Source organism: Homo sapiens, chromosome 9 (assembly GCF_000001405.40).
Source record: "Homo sapiens chromosome 9, GRCh38.p14 Primary Assembly".
Classification (NCBI taxonomy): Eukaryota; Metazoa; Chordata; class Mammalia; order Primates; family Hominidae; genus Homo; species Homo sapiens.
Window position 1 is genome coordinate 128206386 of NC_000009.12, and position 14167 is coordinate 128220552.

Below are 14167 nucleotides of genomic sequence, written 5' to 3' on the forward strand. Positions count from 1 at the left end.
GGCCAATTCATTCAGTCATTTAGCAAACATTTGTGGAGGGTGCACGATGTCTCAGCACTGGGGATTCTATGGTGGAAAAGACCAAGACTCTGCACTGCAGAGGGAGAAACTCAGAAGACAACTGGAAAATGTGGTGAACGTCAGGGAGGGGAGTGGGGCTGCTCTCCCCAGGGAGGTCAGAGGTCTCCAGGAGGAGGTGGCATCTGAGATGAGAACCAAGGGATGAGAAGCTGTGTAACTTGCCAGGGGCGGGAGAGTTCCAGGCCAAGGGAAAGGTGCAAAGGCCCCGGGGTAGCAAAGAATTTGGTGCCTTTGAAGAACAGAAAGGAGACCCTGTAGCTGGTATTCAGCTAGCAAGGGGGAGACAGGACCTGAGAGATAGGCAGGGGCTAGATCTACAAAGCCCTTAGGCCATGAGGAGTGAGGAGTTTGGGTTTATTTTCTCTCTTGTGGGAAGCTTTTTAGTAGTGGAGTGATGAGCTAATTCTAGCAAGGGTGTGACTTGGGGAGCGGGTGAGGGAAAAGGCAGGAGACTGGTGGGGAGGCTGCTGCAGTGGGCAGGGGGTAGTGGGGGGCCTGGACAAGGGCTTCAGCTGCAACCAGAAGGAGAATGGTGGGTGGGTTTCAGGATATATTTTAGAGGAAGTCCTGCTGGAGGATGAATGTGGAGGGTGAGGAAAGAGGAATCAATGATGACTTCTGGGACTTTGACCTGAGCTCCTGGGTGGGTGTTGGTGCCATTAACAGAGTCGGGAAGAGTAAGGAGGAGCAGACTGGGGGGATGGGGGAAGACCAGGGTTTGGTTCTGAACATATTGAGCCTGAGATGCCTGTTAGACTTCTAAGTGGAAGATGTCAGCTGGCAGTTTGGTGATGCAAGTTGAGAGCTCAGGGGGAAGACGGGCTGGAAGTAAAAATTTGGAAGTCGTTGGTGTAGAGATGGGATTTAAACCCGAGAGTAGATGAGCTCATCCTGGGGGTAAGTGTAGATGGGGGAGTGTTTGTGGACCCAGCACACACCAGCCTTTCATGAACAGATGCCTGGTGCCCTAGGCCAAAGGGGCCTCCTCGCTGTCCCTCCAGCTCCTCTTTGTCACCCCCGCCCCGCTACACCCCCCACCCCAGTGCTCCTCTAGGGCCAAGAGTGGGTTGTCCTAGGGCAGGCCAAGTCTGGTGGGAATGTGGCAGAGGGGCCGAGAGCATGGTGTGGAGTCAGACCTGCCGAGTATGAAGCTCAACTCTGCCACTTACAAGCAGAGAAACCCTGGGCATGTTCCCCAAACCCTGCCCAGCTGCTATTTCCTCATCTGTAAAATGGGGATAATAATAGCACATCCCTTGTGAGATTATGGTGAGTGTTGAAACAATCCCCAGGAAGCACTCGGGGCAGGGCCTGGCATGGAGGACGCGCTGCTTCTATCCCTGCCTGGGCGTAGACAGGCAAGCCCTCTGGGATGGCGTGGGCTGGGAGGTGCACCAGGATGGGGGCACGGGTTGGGGATCTTCTCCATCCAGGGTAGGGTAGGGGTCCTGAGGAGCGACCCTCTGCCCAGAGCCGAAGGAGCAGCCTGGGAGGAAGGGTTTTAGGTTTCCCCGTAACTCTGCCTACCCCCCACCCCCAGGCTTTCTGTCTCCCCCAATGCCCTTGTCCCTTCCTCCCCATTCTTTTTTTTCTTTTTTTTTTCTTTTTTTGAGATGGAGTCTCACTCTGTCACCCAGACTTGGAATGCAATGGCGCGATCTCAGCTCACTGCAACCTCCACCTCCCAAGTTCAAGTGATTCTCCTGCCCTAGCCTCCCAAGTAGCTGGGATTACAGGCATGTACCACCACGCCCGGCTAATTTTTGTATTTTTAATAGAGATGGAGTTTCATCATGTTGTCCAGGCTGGTCTCAACTCCTGACCTCCAGTGATCCACCCACCTCAGCCTCCTAAAGTGCTGGGATTACAAGTGTGAGCCATAGCACTCAGCTCTCTGCTCTGCATTCTATCCCAGCATGGACGTGATGCTGGTCTCTGGACTCTGAGAGCCCTTCTCTTTGTCAAACCTAGCCTTTCCCAGGGGAGACAGCCCCCTCCCCACTATTAAGCTCTGTCTCTTCCTCTGAACACACCAGGATGCATCATAGTGGTCCCATTTCTCAGATTTGGAGATGGAGGCCAAAGTCTATTAGGGGATAAATGAGACATCCTAGGCAGAGTATCGATGACCTGGATGGGGCAGAGGGAACTAATATTTCCTTGGCACTTGCTGTGTGCCAGGCCCTGAGGATACAGTTGTGAGTCAGCCAGACCCATCCTGCTTGGGGAGGCTTGCGGCTGATCGGGGCAGACAGACATGAAATCCACAAAGAGCACGTTTGTCGTGTATTTTGAAGGAGGCTGCTCCTGCGTTGCAAGGAGCCTGACATTGAGGGGAGGGGGGCTTTCTGGGCCATCAGAAGGCCTCCTGAGGAGGTAGCATTTAAGATTGGACCTGAGCAAGACTAGGACGTGGTCAAGCCAAGGTGTGGACTTCCGCAGGTGCAGGGACTGTCCTGAGCAAAGAGTTAGGGGGAAAAGAGCCCAACGGGTTTGAGAACCCGGATGAAGGATGAAGGGCAGTGTGGCTGAGTGAGGAGCAGAGGCCAGAGGTGAGACTAGGAGGGTTGGGGAGGCGGGGCTTGAGGGGCCTGTTAGGGGCCCTTTGACACCCCCCCACCCACCTGGAGAGCTGCCACACTCTGCTCCAGCCTCTGCATGCTCAGAGCACGCAGCTGCCACGTGCTAAGCACACACTGCCTGTGGGCCACATGTGGAGCACACCCCTGGGGCTGGAAACATGGAAATGCACCCATCCACAGCCAGAGGACATCCTCTCCAAACCCACACCCCACCGTGGCCCAGAGGAGCTGGGAGTGAAAGGTGACCCTGGCAGACAGCATCTGATCTCGGCGCCAGGAGAATTGAGTTTCCCAGGCCCTGGCTGGGTCAGAGGGTCGGACCCAGGGAAGGGGGTGCAGGTGGGAGAGTGGAGAGGGTGGGCAGGGCAGGAGTGGAGGAAGTGGGTCATGGACACAGTGCTGTCAGGCGTGGAGAAACGGACGCCCACATGCCATATGTCTATGTATTCCAGTTATAAATCAAGCTGAGGAATTGCTAAATGCAATACATTCTGCCCTCCCACCATAACAAACACACCTTCATCACAACCTGACCAGCTGGGTTTGAATTCAGAATTTCAGACTCCTTGGAGTTCCGTGGTGGATGTGGAGGCGTGGGGACAGGTGTCCCCTCTCCGCAGGCTGCCCCGTCATTTCCCTCTTTATCCCTCCAGGGTTCACTTGTGAACACCCCAGCCCTCATATCCCAGCTCCAGAAAGGACCCACCTTGGGCCTGGGCTGGTCCCCACTTGGGCCTGGGCGGTGGGCTTGGAACTGCTTGAGAGGGAATTCTGGGGCATCTGAGCGTAGCCTACGAGGGGAGCACAGGCTTCAGCTGGGCACCTCCCCTGGCCCCTGGGGAACTCTTTGCCCCATGGGGAGGGTGAAGCCAGAGGAGGTCCAGAGAGGGACCCCTAAGTGTAAGTCTCAGACTAAGGGCTCCATTCCCCAGGCCTAAGGGCAGTACTGATGTCTTCTATCATTCCAAGTTTTTGTTTTGTTTTGTTTTGTCTGTTTTGTTTTGTTTTGTTTTGTAAGACAGGATCTCACTCTGTCACCCAGGCTGGAGTGCAGTGGGGCGATCTTGGCTCACTGCAGCCTTGACCTCCCGGGCTCAAGCCATCCATCCTCCCACCTCAGCCTTCCGAGAAGCTGGGATGACAGGCATGTGTCACCACACCCAGCTAAGTTTTTTATTTTATTTTTTGTGGAGATGGGGTCTCACCATGTTGCCCAGGGTGGCCTCAAACTCCTGGACTCAAGTGATCCTCCCACTTTGGCCTTCCAACCAGGTTTTTATTTTATTTGTATTTATTTGGCATTATTATTATTATTATTATTATTATTATTAGAAACAGGGTCTTGCTCGGTCACCCAGGTTGGAGTGCAGTGGCACAATCTCAGCTCACTGCAACCTCCGCCTCCCAGGTTCAAGCAATTCTCCTACCTCAGCCTCCCAAGTAGCTGAGACTAACAGGCACCCGCCATCATGCCTGGCTAATTTTTGTATTTTTAGTAGAGATGGGGTTTCACCATATTGGCCAGGCTGGTCTCGAATTCCTGACCTCAGGTGATCTGCCCGCCTTGGCCTTGCAAAGTGCTGGGAATACAGGTGTGAGCCACCAGGTTTTTAGATGGCAAAAATGACACAGAGAGCGTAGGGAACCTGCCTAATGTCACACAGCAATTGAATCAGAGGCAGGCCAGGAACAGGCATGGGTCTCCTGCCTCCAGTCCACACTTTTCCATGTTTCTGTCTACCCTATTCCCCACCCCAGTCCCACCCATGTGTGCACACACCTACACACCTCAGTGTCTCCTCCTCTCCTCTTCCTGGGCGACTCTCTGGCACTCTTACCCATTCCCTGGAATGAAATCTGGCTAAGAAACAAGAATCATTTGGAGAAGTCAGCCCTGGCAACTTAGAATTACTATAAGCAACAGAAAAAAAAAAAGTAATATTGAGCTTGGAAGGTGTTCAAAATATTCTCCTGAATGGCATCTTCCCAGTGCCCTGGCCAGAGGCCCCAAGATCAACTGCCTGCCGGCTCCCCCATCCTCCCCATCTGACTTGGTCCCCATGCCCTGTGGATTCTGCCCAGTTCACTCCTGTCTACCTCAGACTCCAGCCCCTTTGTCTTAGCAGCAGAGGTAGTTTCCTCCCTTGCCCCCTAATCCATTCCCCGCCCGACAGCATGAAACTCTCTCCAGCCTCCCAATCTATCTTCCTAGCTTGAAGCCCTCTTTGGATTCCCTGCCCTCAAAACGGAACCCCACACCTGAGTTGGGCCCCTGAGGGCTGATTACCCAGTCCTGCTTCCTTTCAGCCGCTCCCTCCTGGTCTACCTGAATATATTACAGTGCGTGGGAAAAATAGGGCCGTGCCCTCTCTCTCACTCTCCTGGGGTGCTATTGCATATGCTGTTCTCTCGCCTGGAAGCCTCTTTTTTTTTTTTTTTTTTTTTTTTTTCTGTACAGACAGGGTCTTGTTATGTTACCCAGGCTGGTCTCAAACTTCTGGCCTCAAGCCAGGTCTCAAACTCCTGGCCTCAAGCTGGGGCTTGAACTCCTGGCCCCAAGCGATCCTCCCACCTCAGCCTCCCAAAGTATTGGGATTACAGGATTCCAGGTGGCTGGCCCCTGGAAAGCTCTTCACCCTGCCGTTGTCTTCCTCTTTCACTGGGTCTTTCCTCCAAGTGTCACATCAGCCAACACCTCCTCTGGGATGCCTTCTCTGATGACCCTCTCCTGCCATGACCTGGCCCTCCCTGTGTGGGGTGGGGCTTTGTTTTCTCCCAGATGGGAAGCTGTAGAGGAAGAAAGAAGCCCGTTGCCTTGGGCTCAGAGCTCCTGGCAGAGGGCGGCTCCAACCATGGTTAATATTAACAACGTATCTAGTCATGACTGTGTTATTCTTTAATCACTCTGTCTCATGTGCCTCTCTTCTTAGGTCAGGGAAAGGAGGCCACTAGCCAGGGTGGGGAGAAAAATCTCAGCGGGTGAATGCACCCTCACCCCCAACCTGGGTCCCCATTTCAAAGGAATGCAATGCTGTAGCACATAAAGCACCCAGCACATGGCACGTGCTCAGGAACTGGGACCTGCCAATGGGCACCCCCTGTTAGGTCCTTCCACAGCCAGGATCTCAGGGCATTCCCTCAGCAGCCCTAGGAGGCAGCTGCTGGCCTGTGTCCTATTTCACTGGTGGGCAAACTGAGGTTCAGAACAAGGAAATAATTTAGTGGCTGAGTTGGGGTTCCTTCTCATCAAGATGCTGGTGATAAGAAATAAGGATCCATAGCTGGGCATGGTGGTGCACACATGTAGTCCCAGCTACTTCGGAGATTGAGGTGGGAGGACTGCTTGAGCTCAGGAATTTGAGGCTGCAATGAGCTATGATCGTACCACTGCACTCCAGCCTGGGCAACACGGCAAGACCCGGCTGGAAGGAAGGAAGGAAGGAATCAAGGAAGGAAGGAAGGAAAGAAGGAGGGAAACAGAAAGAGGATCCAGATGTAGCTGCATAGTGAATAACTTTGGAAATGTCTATGATATGTTAGGTGAATAGAGAAGCTATCAAAGGGCTGATAACCCAGTGTGCATGTGAGCGCCTGAGAGGCATGTGATTTCACCTTTCTGAGTCTCAGTTTCTTCCCTGTAACATGGAGAAACTGATCACTCTGATTTCACACAGCCATGCAAGAATCGATCCAAAGGCTGTAGATTTTCTTAAACAGCTTTACTGAGGTATAATTTACATGCCATACCATTCACCCATTTTAAAGGCACAATTCAATGATCTTTGGTATATTCACAGAGTGGTGCAACCATCATCACTATCTAATTTTAGGATATTTCCGTCACCCTAAAAAGAAATCTTGTGCTGATGTAGATTTTCAAGTCCCTGGCAGAGTCCCTGGCTGACAGTCAGCAATTCATCAGTGTTTAGCCATGATGATGATGATGAATGATAAAATGTTTACAGTGGCTCCCATCAGGTGTTGGGATGACGATTGGTTTTTATTTTTTAAATATTTCACGTATTTTCTGGATCTTTTTGTTTGTTTGTTTGAGATAGAGTCTCACTCTGTCATCCAGGCTGGAGTACAGCGGCAGGATCTCAGCTCACTGCAACCTCCACCTCCCGGGTTCAAGCGATTCTCCTGCCTCAGTCTCCCGAGTAGCTGGGACTACAGGCGCACGCCACCACACCCTGCTAATTTTTGTATCTTTAGTAGAGATGGGGTTTCACCATGTTGGCCAGGCTGGTCTCAAACTCCTGACCTCAGGCGATCCACCCACCTCGGCCTCCCAAAGTGTTGGGATTACAGGAGTGAGCCACCGCACCTTGTCATTTTCTGAATCTTTTAAAATGGAGAACACATGATTTTAAAAATTAGAGGCAAAAGAGATCTATTTCCCTTTTGAAAATACAAAGTCATCAACCCTTGGATTGATGGAAGGGAGGGAGGGAGGGTGGGAAAGAAAGTAGGAAGGATGAGAAGATAAGAAATAAGGGAAGGTAATAGGCTCTGCTTAATAGGGAGAAAGATTGCTGTGGAGAGAGCACCTACCCGGACTCAGGAGCCCTACCTTGTCACCAACTTGCACCATGATCTTGGGCAAGACTCTTCCCTTTTGTGCCTCAGTTTCTACCCTATACAATGAAGCCGATGGTAGAGCTCATCTTCCATTCCCTCTTTTGGTCAGTGCGGGTGTCCTGAGAGTCTGCTACATGCCAGACCCAGGGCTAGGTGCTGGGATATTGTGACAAACAAGTCTAGCCTAGTCCCTGCTCCCGGGGCCATCAGAACATCAAGGAAAGCCAAGGCCAGAACTGCCCTGCAGTGTTCAGACCTCAGCTTGAAATTCATGAGCTGTGACGGGGCTGCCTAGGGTCCCCTGGGGCAGCAGGAACAGAGAGCGACTTGTTGCCTGGGGGTAGCCTCACCTCCTCCCAACTGTATTTCTTGGCCTACCCACTCCCTTGCAGGCACCCCAACTCCCTGCTTCAGAGCACGCCCCTGCCCACCCCCCTTGCCTTCCACCTCCAGGGTCAAGATCTGGCTGGAAATATCCTGCCCTCACCCCCAAGCTCACTGCCATCCTCCAGGAAACCCACCGTCCAACTCTCTCCCCGCTGCCTCTTCTGGTGACGAGGCTGTGGGAGTCCAGCCTGTGGTCTCAGCATGCCCAGCAAGCTATCGTTATTTATAATCATAGTAGCCACGATTGGTTCAGCCATCAGTCTGTATAAGCCTCACAGCAACCCATTTTACTGATGTGGAAACTGAGGCTCAGAGAGGTATGGTCATTTGTGCACAGCCACACAGCTCCTACATGACAGCTCAGACATTCAATGTGGGGTCCATCTGACATCAGAGCCCAAAAAAGAGGAGGCATAGAAGAATGACCGGCACTGGGTGCACGCCCAGTTAAGCACGTTACTTCCTGGGGTCATTTGCATTCAGCAGGGCCTGGGAACCAGGATCCCAGAGCTCTGATCCCAAGTCTCAGGTCCTAGAGTAGGGGTAGGGGTAGGGGTCACATCAGCCCTTGGGTTCAGTTTCTCCAGACCCCTCTCACGGTGACAACTCCAGTTCAGACAGGGAGTGTGGCATTTGGGGTTCCTGAGAGGTGTTTGTTTCGTCCCCTCATGTTTCACGTTTGAAGGTGCCTCTGCAGATGGCCAGGCACAGCCTCCCTGGGAACCCACCATCTGCTCCAAATGAGTGGGGAGAACTGGCATGCCAGCAGCCGCCCCTCCCACGCTGGGCACAGCACGCGGCCTCCGAGGCTGGTGGGCCTGATACTTTTCTCTGGGCACCTGTTCTGTCCTCCCTTAGCCTAACCAGGAGCTGGAGGCTGGATCTAGTCTGGATCCCCACTGGGGAGAAGGAGGGCCACCTAGGGGACCCTTAAACAGAGGGCTAAAGTGGGACAGTGTGTCCAGGTGAAAGGGAAGAGCTAGGGAGCTGCTGAGTCATGCACATTCCTTCTCGTGTTGCCTGCACGCCTACTACGTGCGGGGCCTGTGCCAGGCAGGAACCCGGAAGTGAGTGAGGAGCTCATTGTCCGGACCTGGGGACCTGCTGGTCCTCCCCACTGTCAGTCCAGACGTGAGACTGGGAAGCAGACCTCTCGGGTCCTGGCACCAGGCACCAGGCCAAGGAAAGGCCAATGTAGGATTCGATGAAGGAGCCAGCCTGGCACTGGCTCCTCAGCATGGGGCAGATGGTCCTTAAACTTAACACGGAGTGTGGAAACCACCTGAGGATCCATTTAAAACCCAGATTCTGCCTCCCCATGAAGCCCTCTTGAGATTCTAGCCCAGCATGCCTGAGGAGCATGCGTCTGGACAAACTACCCAAGGCATTCTGATGCAGGCCGCGTGAGGGCCTCACTTTGAGAACCTGGGCCATGACAGAGATGGGCCACCTCCCCATCTGGGCACCAGGAGATCTTGGCTCTGGGAGGGGTTGACCCCCAGACATGGCCCTGCCTCTAGTCTCTGCTTCCCAGAAGCTACTTGCCCTTTAAGTAGCCCTGGGGAGGCAGCAGGCAGCTGGCCCAGACCCTGACCACCCAGCATTCTTGCCAGCTGGGCCCTGGGCTCCCCACACCCGCTATGTGGCACCTTGGAGACCTCCACCCCTCAGGCTCACCAGGGCTGCGTGGGCCTGTCTGCTCAAGGAGAGGCCTCTCAGGGAAGAACTCCAGGGAAAGTCCACGTCTCTGTGTGGGGGACTCTTTGTGGGGAGTCCCATCCTTTCCAGCCCCTCCTGCAGTTTCCATGGCAACTACTGTTGCCATGGTGTTGCTGGTGAGGAGCTGGTGGAGAAGAGGGTGGACCCCCGGCCCCCACACCCACCCCAGCTTCTATGAGAACAGCTGTTCTATCTCCACAGCCCTGGGGGACTCCCAAAACTGGAAGTCACGCCCCCAAAGGAGTCTTTGAGTAAAGGATGGGAGAGATTGAGACCGGAAGTCCTCCCACCCCCCAGCAAACCCCCTCCCTCTGTGCCGCCTGGCACACCTCTGTTCTAGCACATACCACGCTGCATTGCATTATCTGTTTACTTGTCTGTCTCTCCCACCACACTGTGAGTTCCTCAGGGTGGGAACTGTCTGACTCATCATCTCCCATCCCCAGAGCCCGGCACAGGGCCCGGCACAGACTGAATTTAATTGAATTACATAAAAAGCCAAGTCTGGCTTCTTGGGTTTGAGACAGCACCATTGAATGAGGAAGTTTCCAGGCTGAGGGTCCAACAGACACTCAGCTTTGAATCCCCACTCTGCTGTGTGACCTTGGGTGAGTCACTTCACCTCTCTGAGCCTCAGCTGCTTCCTCTGTAAAATGATAATCTCTATATCAGAGCACAGATTCGAGGACTTGGAGATTCAATCAGAATTTATTGAGTGCCCCTTGTGTGCTAAGCCCTGTCCTGGGCACTGGGATACAGTGGCAGACAGAAAGAGGCTGCCCTGCTCACTGTCTGGCAAGAATGAAAAGCATTTGCCTGGTGCGCAGAAATGATGAATATACACAGGGCTTACCATCCTTCTCCTTCTCCAGTATAATTCCTGACTCCTCCCCAGCAGCGTCCACTTCCCCAGACGTGAGGCAGTGGAGAGGCTTCAAGAGGGGGCTTTGAACCTAGGAGCTCTGGGTCTAGTCTGTTGTACCTAAGACCCTTAGCTCCTGACCCTGGGGTGCAAGAAGACTTGTGAGTCTGGGTCAGGCTCTGGGCTGGGAGCAAGAGACCTGGGTTCCACCTCTGGCTCTGTAGAGCTTGAATGTATCTTTTTCCCTCCCTGGGCCTCTCCATGAATAAGGCGCTGGCTGTGTCTCAATGGTCCCTCGGGCTTCAACCTGTTCCCCCCTTTCCTGGGCCCTGGAGATCCCATGACTGGCAATTCTGACATCCTGATTCCTGGAGAGGCCTTCACCCTTGTGCTTGCGCCAGCTGGAGGGTGGTGCAGAGGGAGGTGGATGAAAAGAGCTGACTGGACAGAGAACCGGCACCCACAAGAGTCAGCCAAAAGGACAGCTGAGGTTGACATTGGCACGAGCAGATGTCTAAGCTATAGACTGTCAGGTCTGGGGACGGGGGATGACTTTGGGACCTCTCAGTCCAGTCCTTCAAAGGCGGCTCGGTTCACAGGGGGCTGAAGGGCAGGGGAGTGTCACTGCAGAGTCAAATATATCCGAGACCAGGGTCTGCTCTGCCAGATACTGGCTGTGCAACCTGAATGTCTCTAAGGTGCAGCTCCCTCATCTGCAAAATGGGGGTAATAACAGCACCTGCCTCATGGGGCTACAGTATGGAGCCCCACTAAGCGCCTGGCATGCAGTAGGCACTAAGAAGCATGAGTTTTTTTGTTTCTTTGTGGGTTTTTTTGAGGTGGAGTTTTGCTCTTGTCGCCTAGGCTGGAGTGCAATGGCGCGATCTTGGCTCACCGTAACCTCCGCCTCCCGGGTTCAAACAATTCTCCTGCCTCAGCCTCCCAAATAGCTGAGATTACAGGTGCCTGACACCCCGCCGGCTAATTTTTTTGTATTTTTAGTAGAGACAGGGTTTCACCATGTTGGCCAGGCTGGTCTCAAACTCCTGACCTCAGGTGATCCGCCCGCCTCAGCCTCCAAAGTGCTGGGATTACAGGCGTGAGCCACCGCGCCCGGCCCATGAGTCCTTTTCCTTGCCACCTCCTTCCCCACTCTTCTTCAACCCTAGCCATATGGAGCCTGGAGAAGGGGAAGTGAGATGCTGCCCTGCCCCACAGCGGAAGGGAGGGGAGAAGTTACAGCTCTGTTTCCTGGGATCCACTCTGTGGGCATTGGACACATAGGCATGTGGGAGACCCCATGCCTCAGTTTTCTGGGGCTGAATGGCCGTGGCTGAGTTGGGGCAGGGACTTCCTATTGGTTCAAAACCAACACAGGACGTATCTAGGAGTTGATCCAGTCTCTTGGCAGCTCAGATGCATAAATTCTGTGACCCAGGCGACTTGAGGAAAAGTATTTTCCACCTTTCTGGGCTGCCATATGCTCTTAGTTACCTGAAGCCCCTGGGCTAAGGAGCGGTGGAGCCAGCACTTTGGAAGGAGCTTTGGCTTTCCCAGGGGCCGGACAGGTACCCCTGGGACAGAGGGCGCCCCCTCATATCTTGACCCTCCTTTGACCTCCAACTCATTGCAGGGACTTCTTGCCTCGAGGATCTGGCATTGTCACCCGACGTCCCCTGGTCTTGCAGCTGGTCAATGCAACCACAGGTACGTGCCCTCCTTCACCAGCAGCCAGGCCTGCCCACTCCAGCCTCTCCCCCGTCCCCAAGCTGAGGGCCAGCCTGGCCACGAACTTGCTTGCTGTGTGACTGTGGGCCTCGTTCCCCTTAGGGATAGCGGGGATCAAAATACATAATGGAGACGTGGGTGGTGGTTCTGCTTGGGTGTGTCTAGGGGGTTCTATTACCGGTGGGAGATGAAAACCCCCAGGTGGGGTTCCAGACCTTGATGCCTACTGCCCTTCCCCTGCCCGCTTCTGGAGCAGAATATGCCGAGTTCCTGCACTGCAAGGGAAAGAAATTCACCGACTTCGAGGAGGTGCGCCTTGAGATCGAGGCCGAGACCGACAGGGTCACCGGCACCAACAAGGGCATCTCGCCGGTGCCTATCAACCTCCGCGTCTACTCGCCGCACGGTGAGGACCCTGGCCCCGCCCTAACCTCTAAGAATCATTTTCTTGGCCACGCACCTCTGCGTGCCTCGCTCCTCCTGCAGACTCCGCCCCTAGAATGACCCTGCCTCTGCATCATCCTATTCCAAGCTCCACCCTGCCGTGATTCCGCCCACTTCCGGCCACGCCTCCAACAGACTGCCACTTTCGCCCTGAGATTTCCTAGTCCCACCCACCTGCCACCCTGCTCCCAAGCAGCTTCTCTAACCCCGCCCTATTCTTTAACCTCGCCCGCGGCCACGCCCCTCGCCTTGAGCCCGCCCTCTCGCCGCCCTGTCCAGTGCTGAACCTGACCCTGGTGGACCTGCCCGGAATGACCAAGGTCCCGGTGGGGGACCAACCTCCCGACATCGAGTTCCAGATCCGAGACATGCTTATGCAGTTTGTCACCAAGGAGAACTGCCTCATCCTGGCCGTGTCCCCCGCCAACTCTGACCTGGCCAATTCTGACGCCCTCAAGGTCGCCAAGGAGGTGGACCCCCAGGGTAGGTTCCCACCCGGTGGCCAATGCACAAAACCCCAGGCTTGCAGGCTGTCTATTCTTAGTGTAAAGGGGAGCCTCTGAACGGTCTAAGAATAGCGGTGGGATCAGATTTGTACCTTTAAAAATCACTTTGGGGGTCAGGCATGGTAGCTCATGCCTGTAATCCCAGCACTTTGGGAGGCCAAGCCGGGAGGATTGCTTGAGCCCAGGAGTTCGAGACAAGGCTGGGCAACCTAGTGAGACCCCATTTCTACAAAAAATTTAAAAATTAGCCGGGCACCGTGGTGCACGCTTGTGGTCCCAGCTACTCGTGAGGCTGAGGCCAGAGAATCACTTGAGCCCAGGAGGTTGAGGCTGCAGTGAGCCCTACTCGCACCACTGCAGTCCAGCATGGGCAAGAGTGAGACCCTGTCTCAAAAAAGAAAAAAAGGCTGGGTGCAGTGGCTCATGCCTGTAATCCCAGCACTTTGGGAGGCCAACTTGGGAGGATCGCTTGAAGCCAGGAGTTGGAAACCAGCCTGGCAACAAAGCGAGATCCCATCTCTAACAAATAAAAAAACAAGAAGAATAAATAAAAATCATTTTGGCTACTCTGTGGAAAATGAATAAGGGGGAAAGAGAGGAGGCAGTGAGCAGGCAGGGGGCCGAGGAGAGCAGGGGGATGGGAGTGGGAGTGCATGGAATTGTGTGTGAGAGCGGGTGCAGCTGTAGACGGCCCTCCTGCTGGTGCACCCAGGCCAGCGCACCATCGGGGTCATCACCAAGCTGGACCTGATGGACGAGGGCACAGATGCCCGTGATGTGCTGGAGAACAAGCTGCTCCCCCTGCGCAGAGGTAAGCAGGCCATGCCCCTCAACCACTCCCCAGCCCTTCCCCACCCTTCCCCTCCTCTTGAGGCTGGTTGCCCTGACCTTGATACTGTTCACAGGCTACATTGGAGTGGTGAACCGGAGCCAGAAGGACATTGATGGCAAGAAGGACATTACCGCCGCCTTGGCTGCTGAACGAAAGTTCTTCCTCTCCCATCCATCTTATCGCCACTTGGCTGACCGTATGGGCACGCCCTACCTGCAGAAGGTCCTCAATCAGGTAGGCGACCAAGCCAGGATGGGGCCTGGGGAAACAAGCATGAAAACAGGATAAATTAAGTGTGTTCTGAGAGTGAACAGCAGAGGTTAGCCTCTCCGTAGTGCAGATAGACAAACTGAGCCTCAGAAAAGCAAAGCAACTTGCCCACAGCCCCACAGCTAGGTAGCAGCAAAGCTTCACTGACCTTTCCCTGTCTGGGACCTGCCAGGGA

General features: G+C 54.3%; 1 protein-coding gene across 6 annotated transcripts in view, besides 4 other annotated features; it reads left to right on the forward strand.

The window, feature by feature from the left end:
* The window catches only part of DNM1 (dynamin 1), a 51866-nt gene that overhangs the window by 3007 nt on the left and 34692 nt on the right, over positions 1-14167 (forward strand). For all 6 annotated transcript variants that reach the window (NM_001005336.3, NM_001374269.1, NM_004408.4 and 3 more), the window contains exons 2-6: positions 11846-11919; positions 12197-12346; positions 12664-12867; positions 13603-13701; positions 13796-13956. In NM_001005336.3, coding sequence (NP_001005336.1) covers positions 11846-11919; positions 12197-12346; positions 12664-12867; positions 13603-13701; positions 13796-13956 — 688 coding nt within the window. The remainder of the gene's footprint in view (positions 1-11845; positions 11920-12196; positions 12347-12663; positions 12868-13602; positions 13702-13795; positions 13957-14167) is intronic.
* Positions 11439-12395: an enhancer, noted in NCBI's record as "H3K27ac-H3K4me1 hESC enhancer chr9:130980103-130981059 (GRCh37/hg19 assembly coordinates)". NCBI's record gives its function as "activates a minimal SCP1, AML or CMV promoter by ChIP-STARR-seq in naive H9 embryonic stem cells {active_cell/tissue: H9 hESC(naive)}" and the evidence as "EXISTENCE:reporter gene assay evidence [ECO:0000049][PMID:30033119]".
* Positions 11439-13351: a biological region, named in NCBI's record as "H3K27ac-H3K4me1 hESC enhancers GRCh37_chr9:130980103-130981059 and GRCh37_chr9:130981060-130982015".
* Positions 12365-12659: an enhancer, noted in NCBI's record as "tiled region #8497; HepG2 Activating non-DNase unmatched - State 4:PromP, and K562 Activating DNase unmatched - State 1:Tss". NCBI's record gives its function as "activates a minimal TATA promoter and a strong SV40 promoter by Sharpr-MPRA in HepG2 and K562 cells {active_cell/tissue: HepG2 | K562}" and the evidence as "EXISTENCE:reporter gene assay evidence [ECO:0000049][PMID:27701403]".
* Positions 12396-13351: an enhancer, noted in NCBI's record as "H3K27ac-H3K4me1 hESC enhancer chr9:130981060-130982015 (GRCh37/hg19 assembly coordinates)". NCBI's record gives its function as "activates a minimal SCP1, AML or CMV promoter by ChIP-STARR-seq in naive H9 embryonic stem cells {active_cell/tissue: H9 hESC(naive)}" and the evidence as "EXISTENCE:reporter gene assay evidence [ECO:0000049][PMID:30033119]".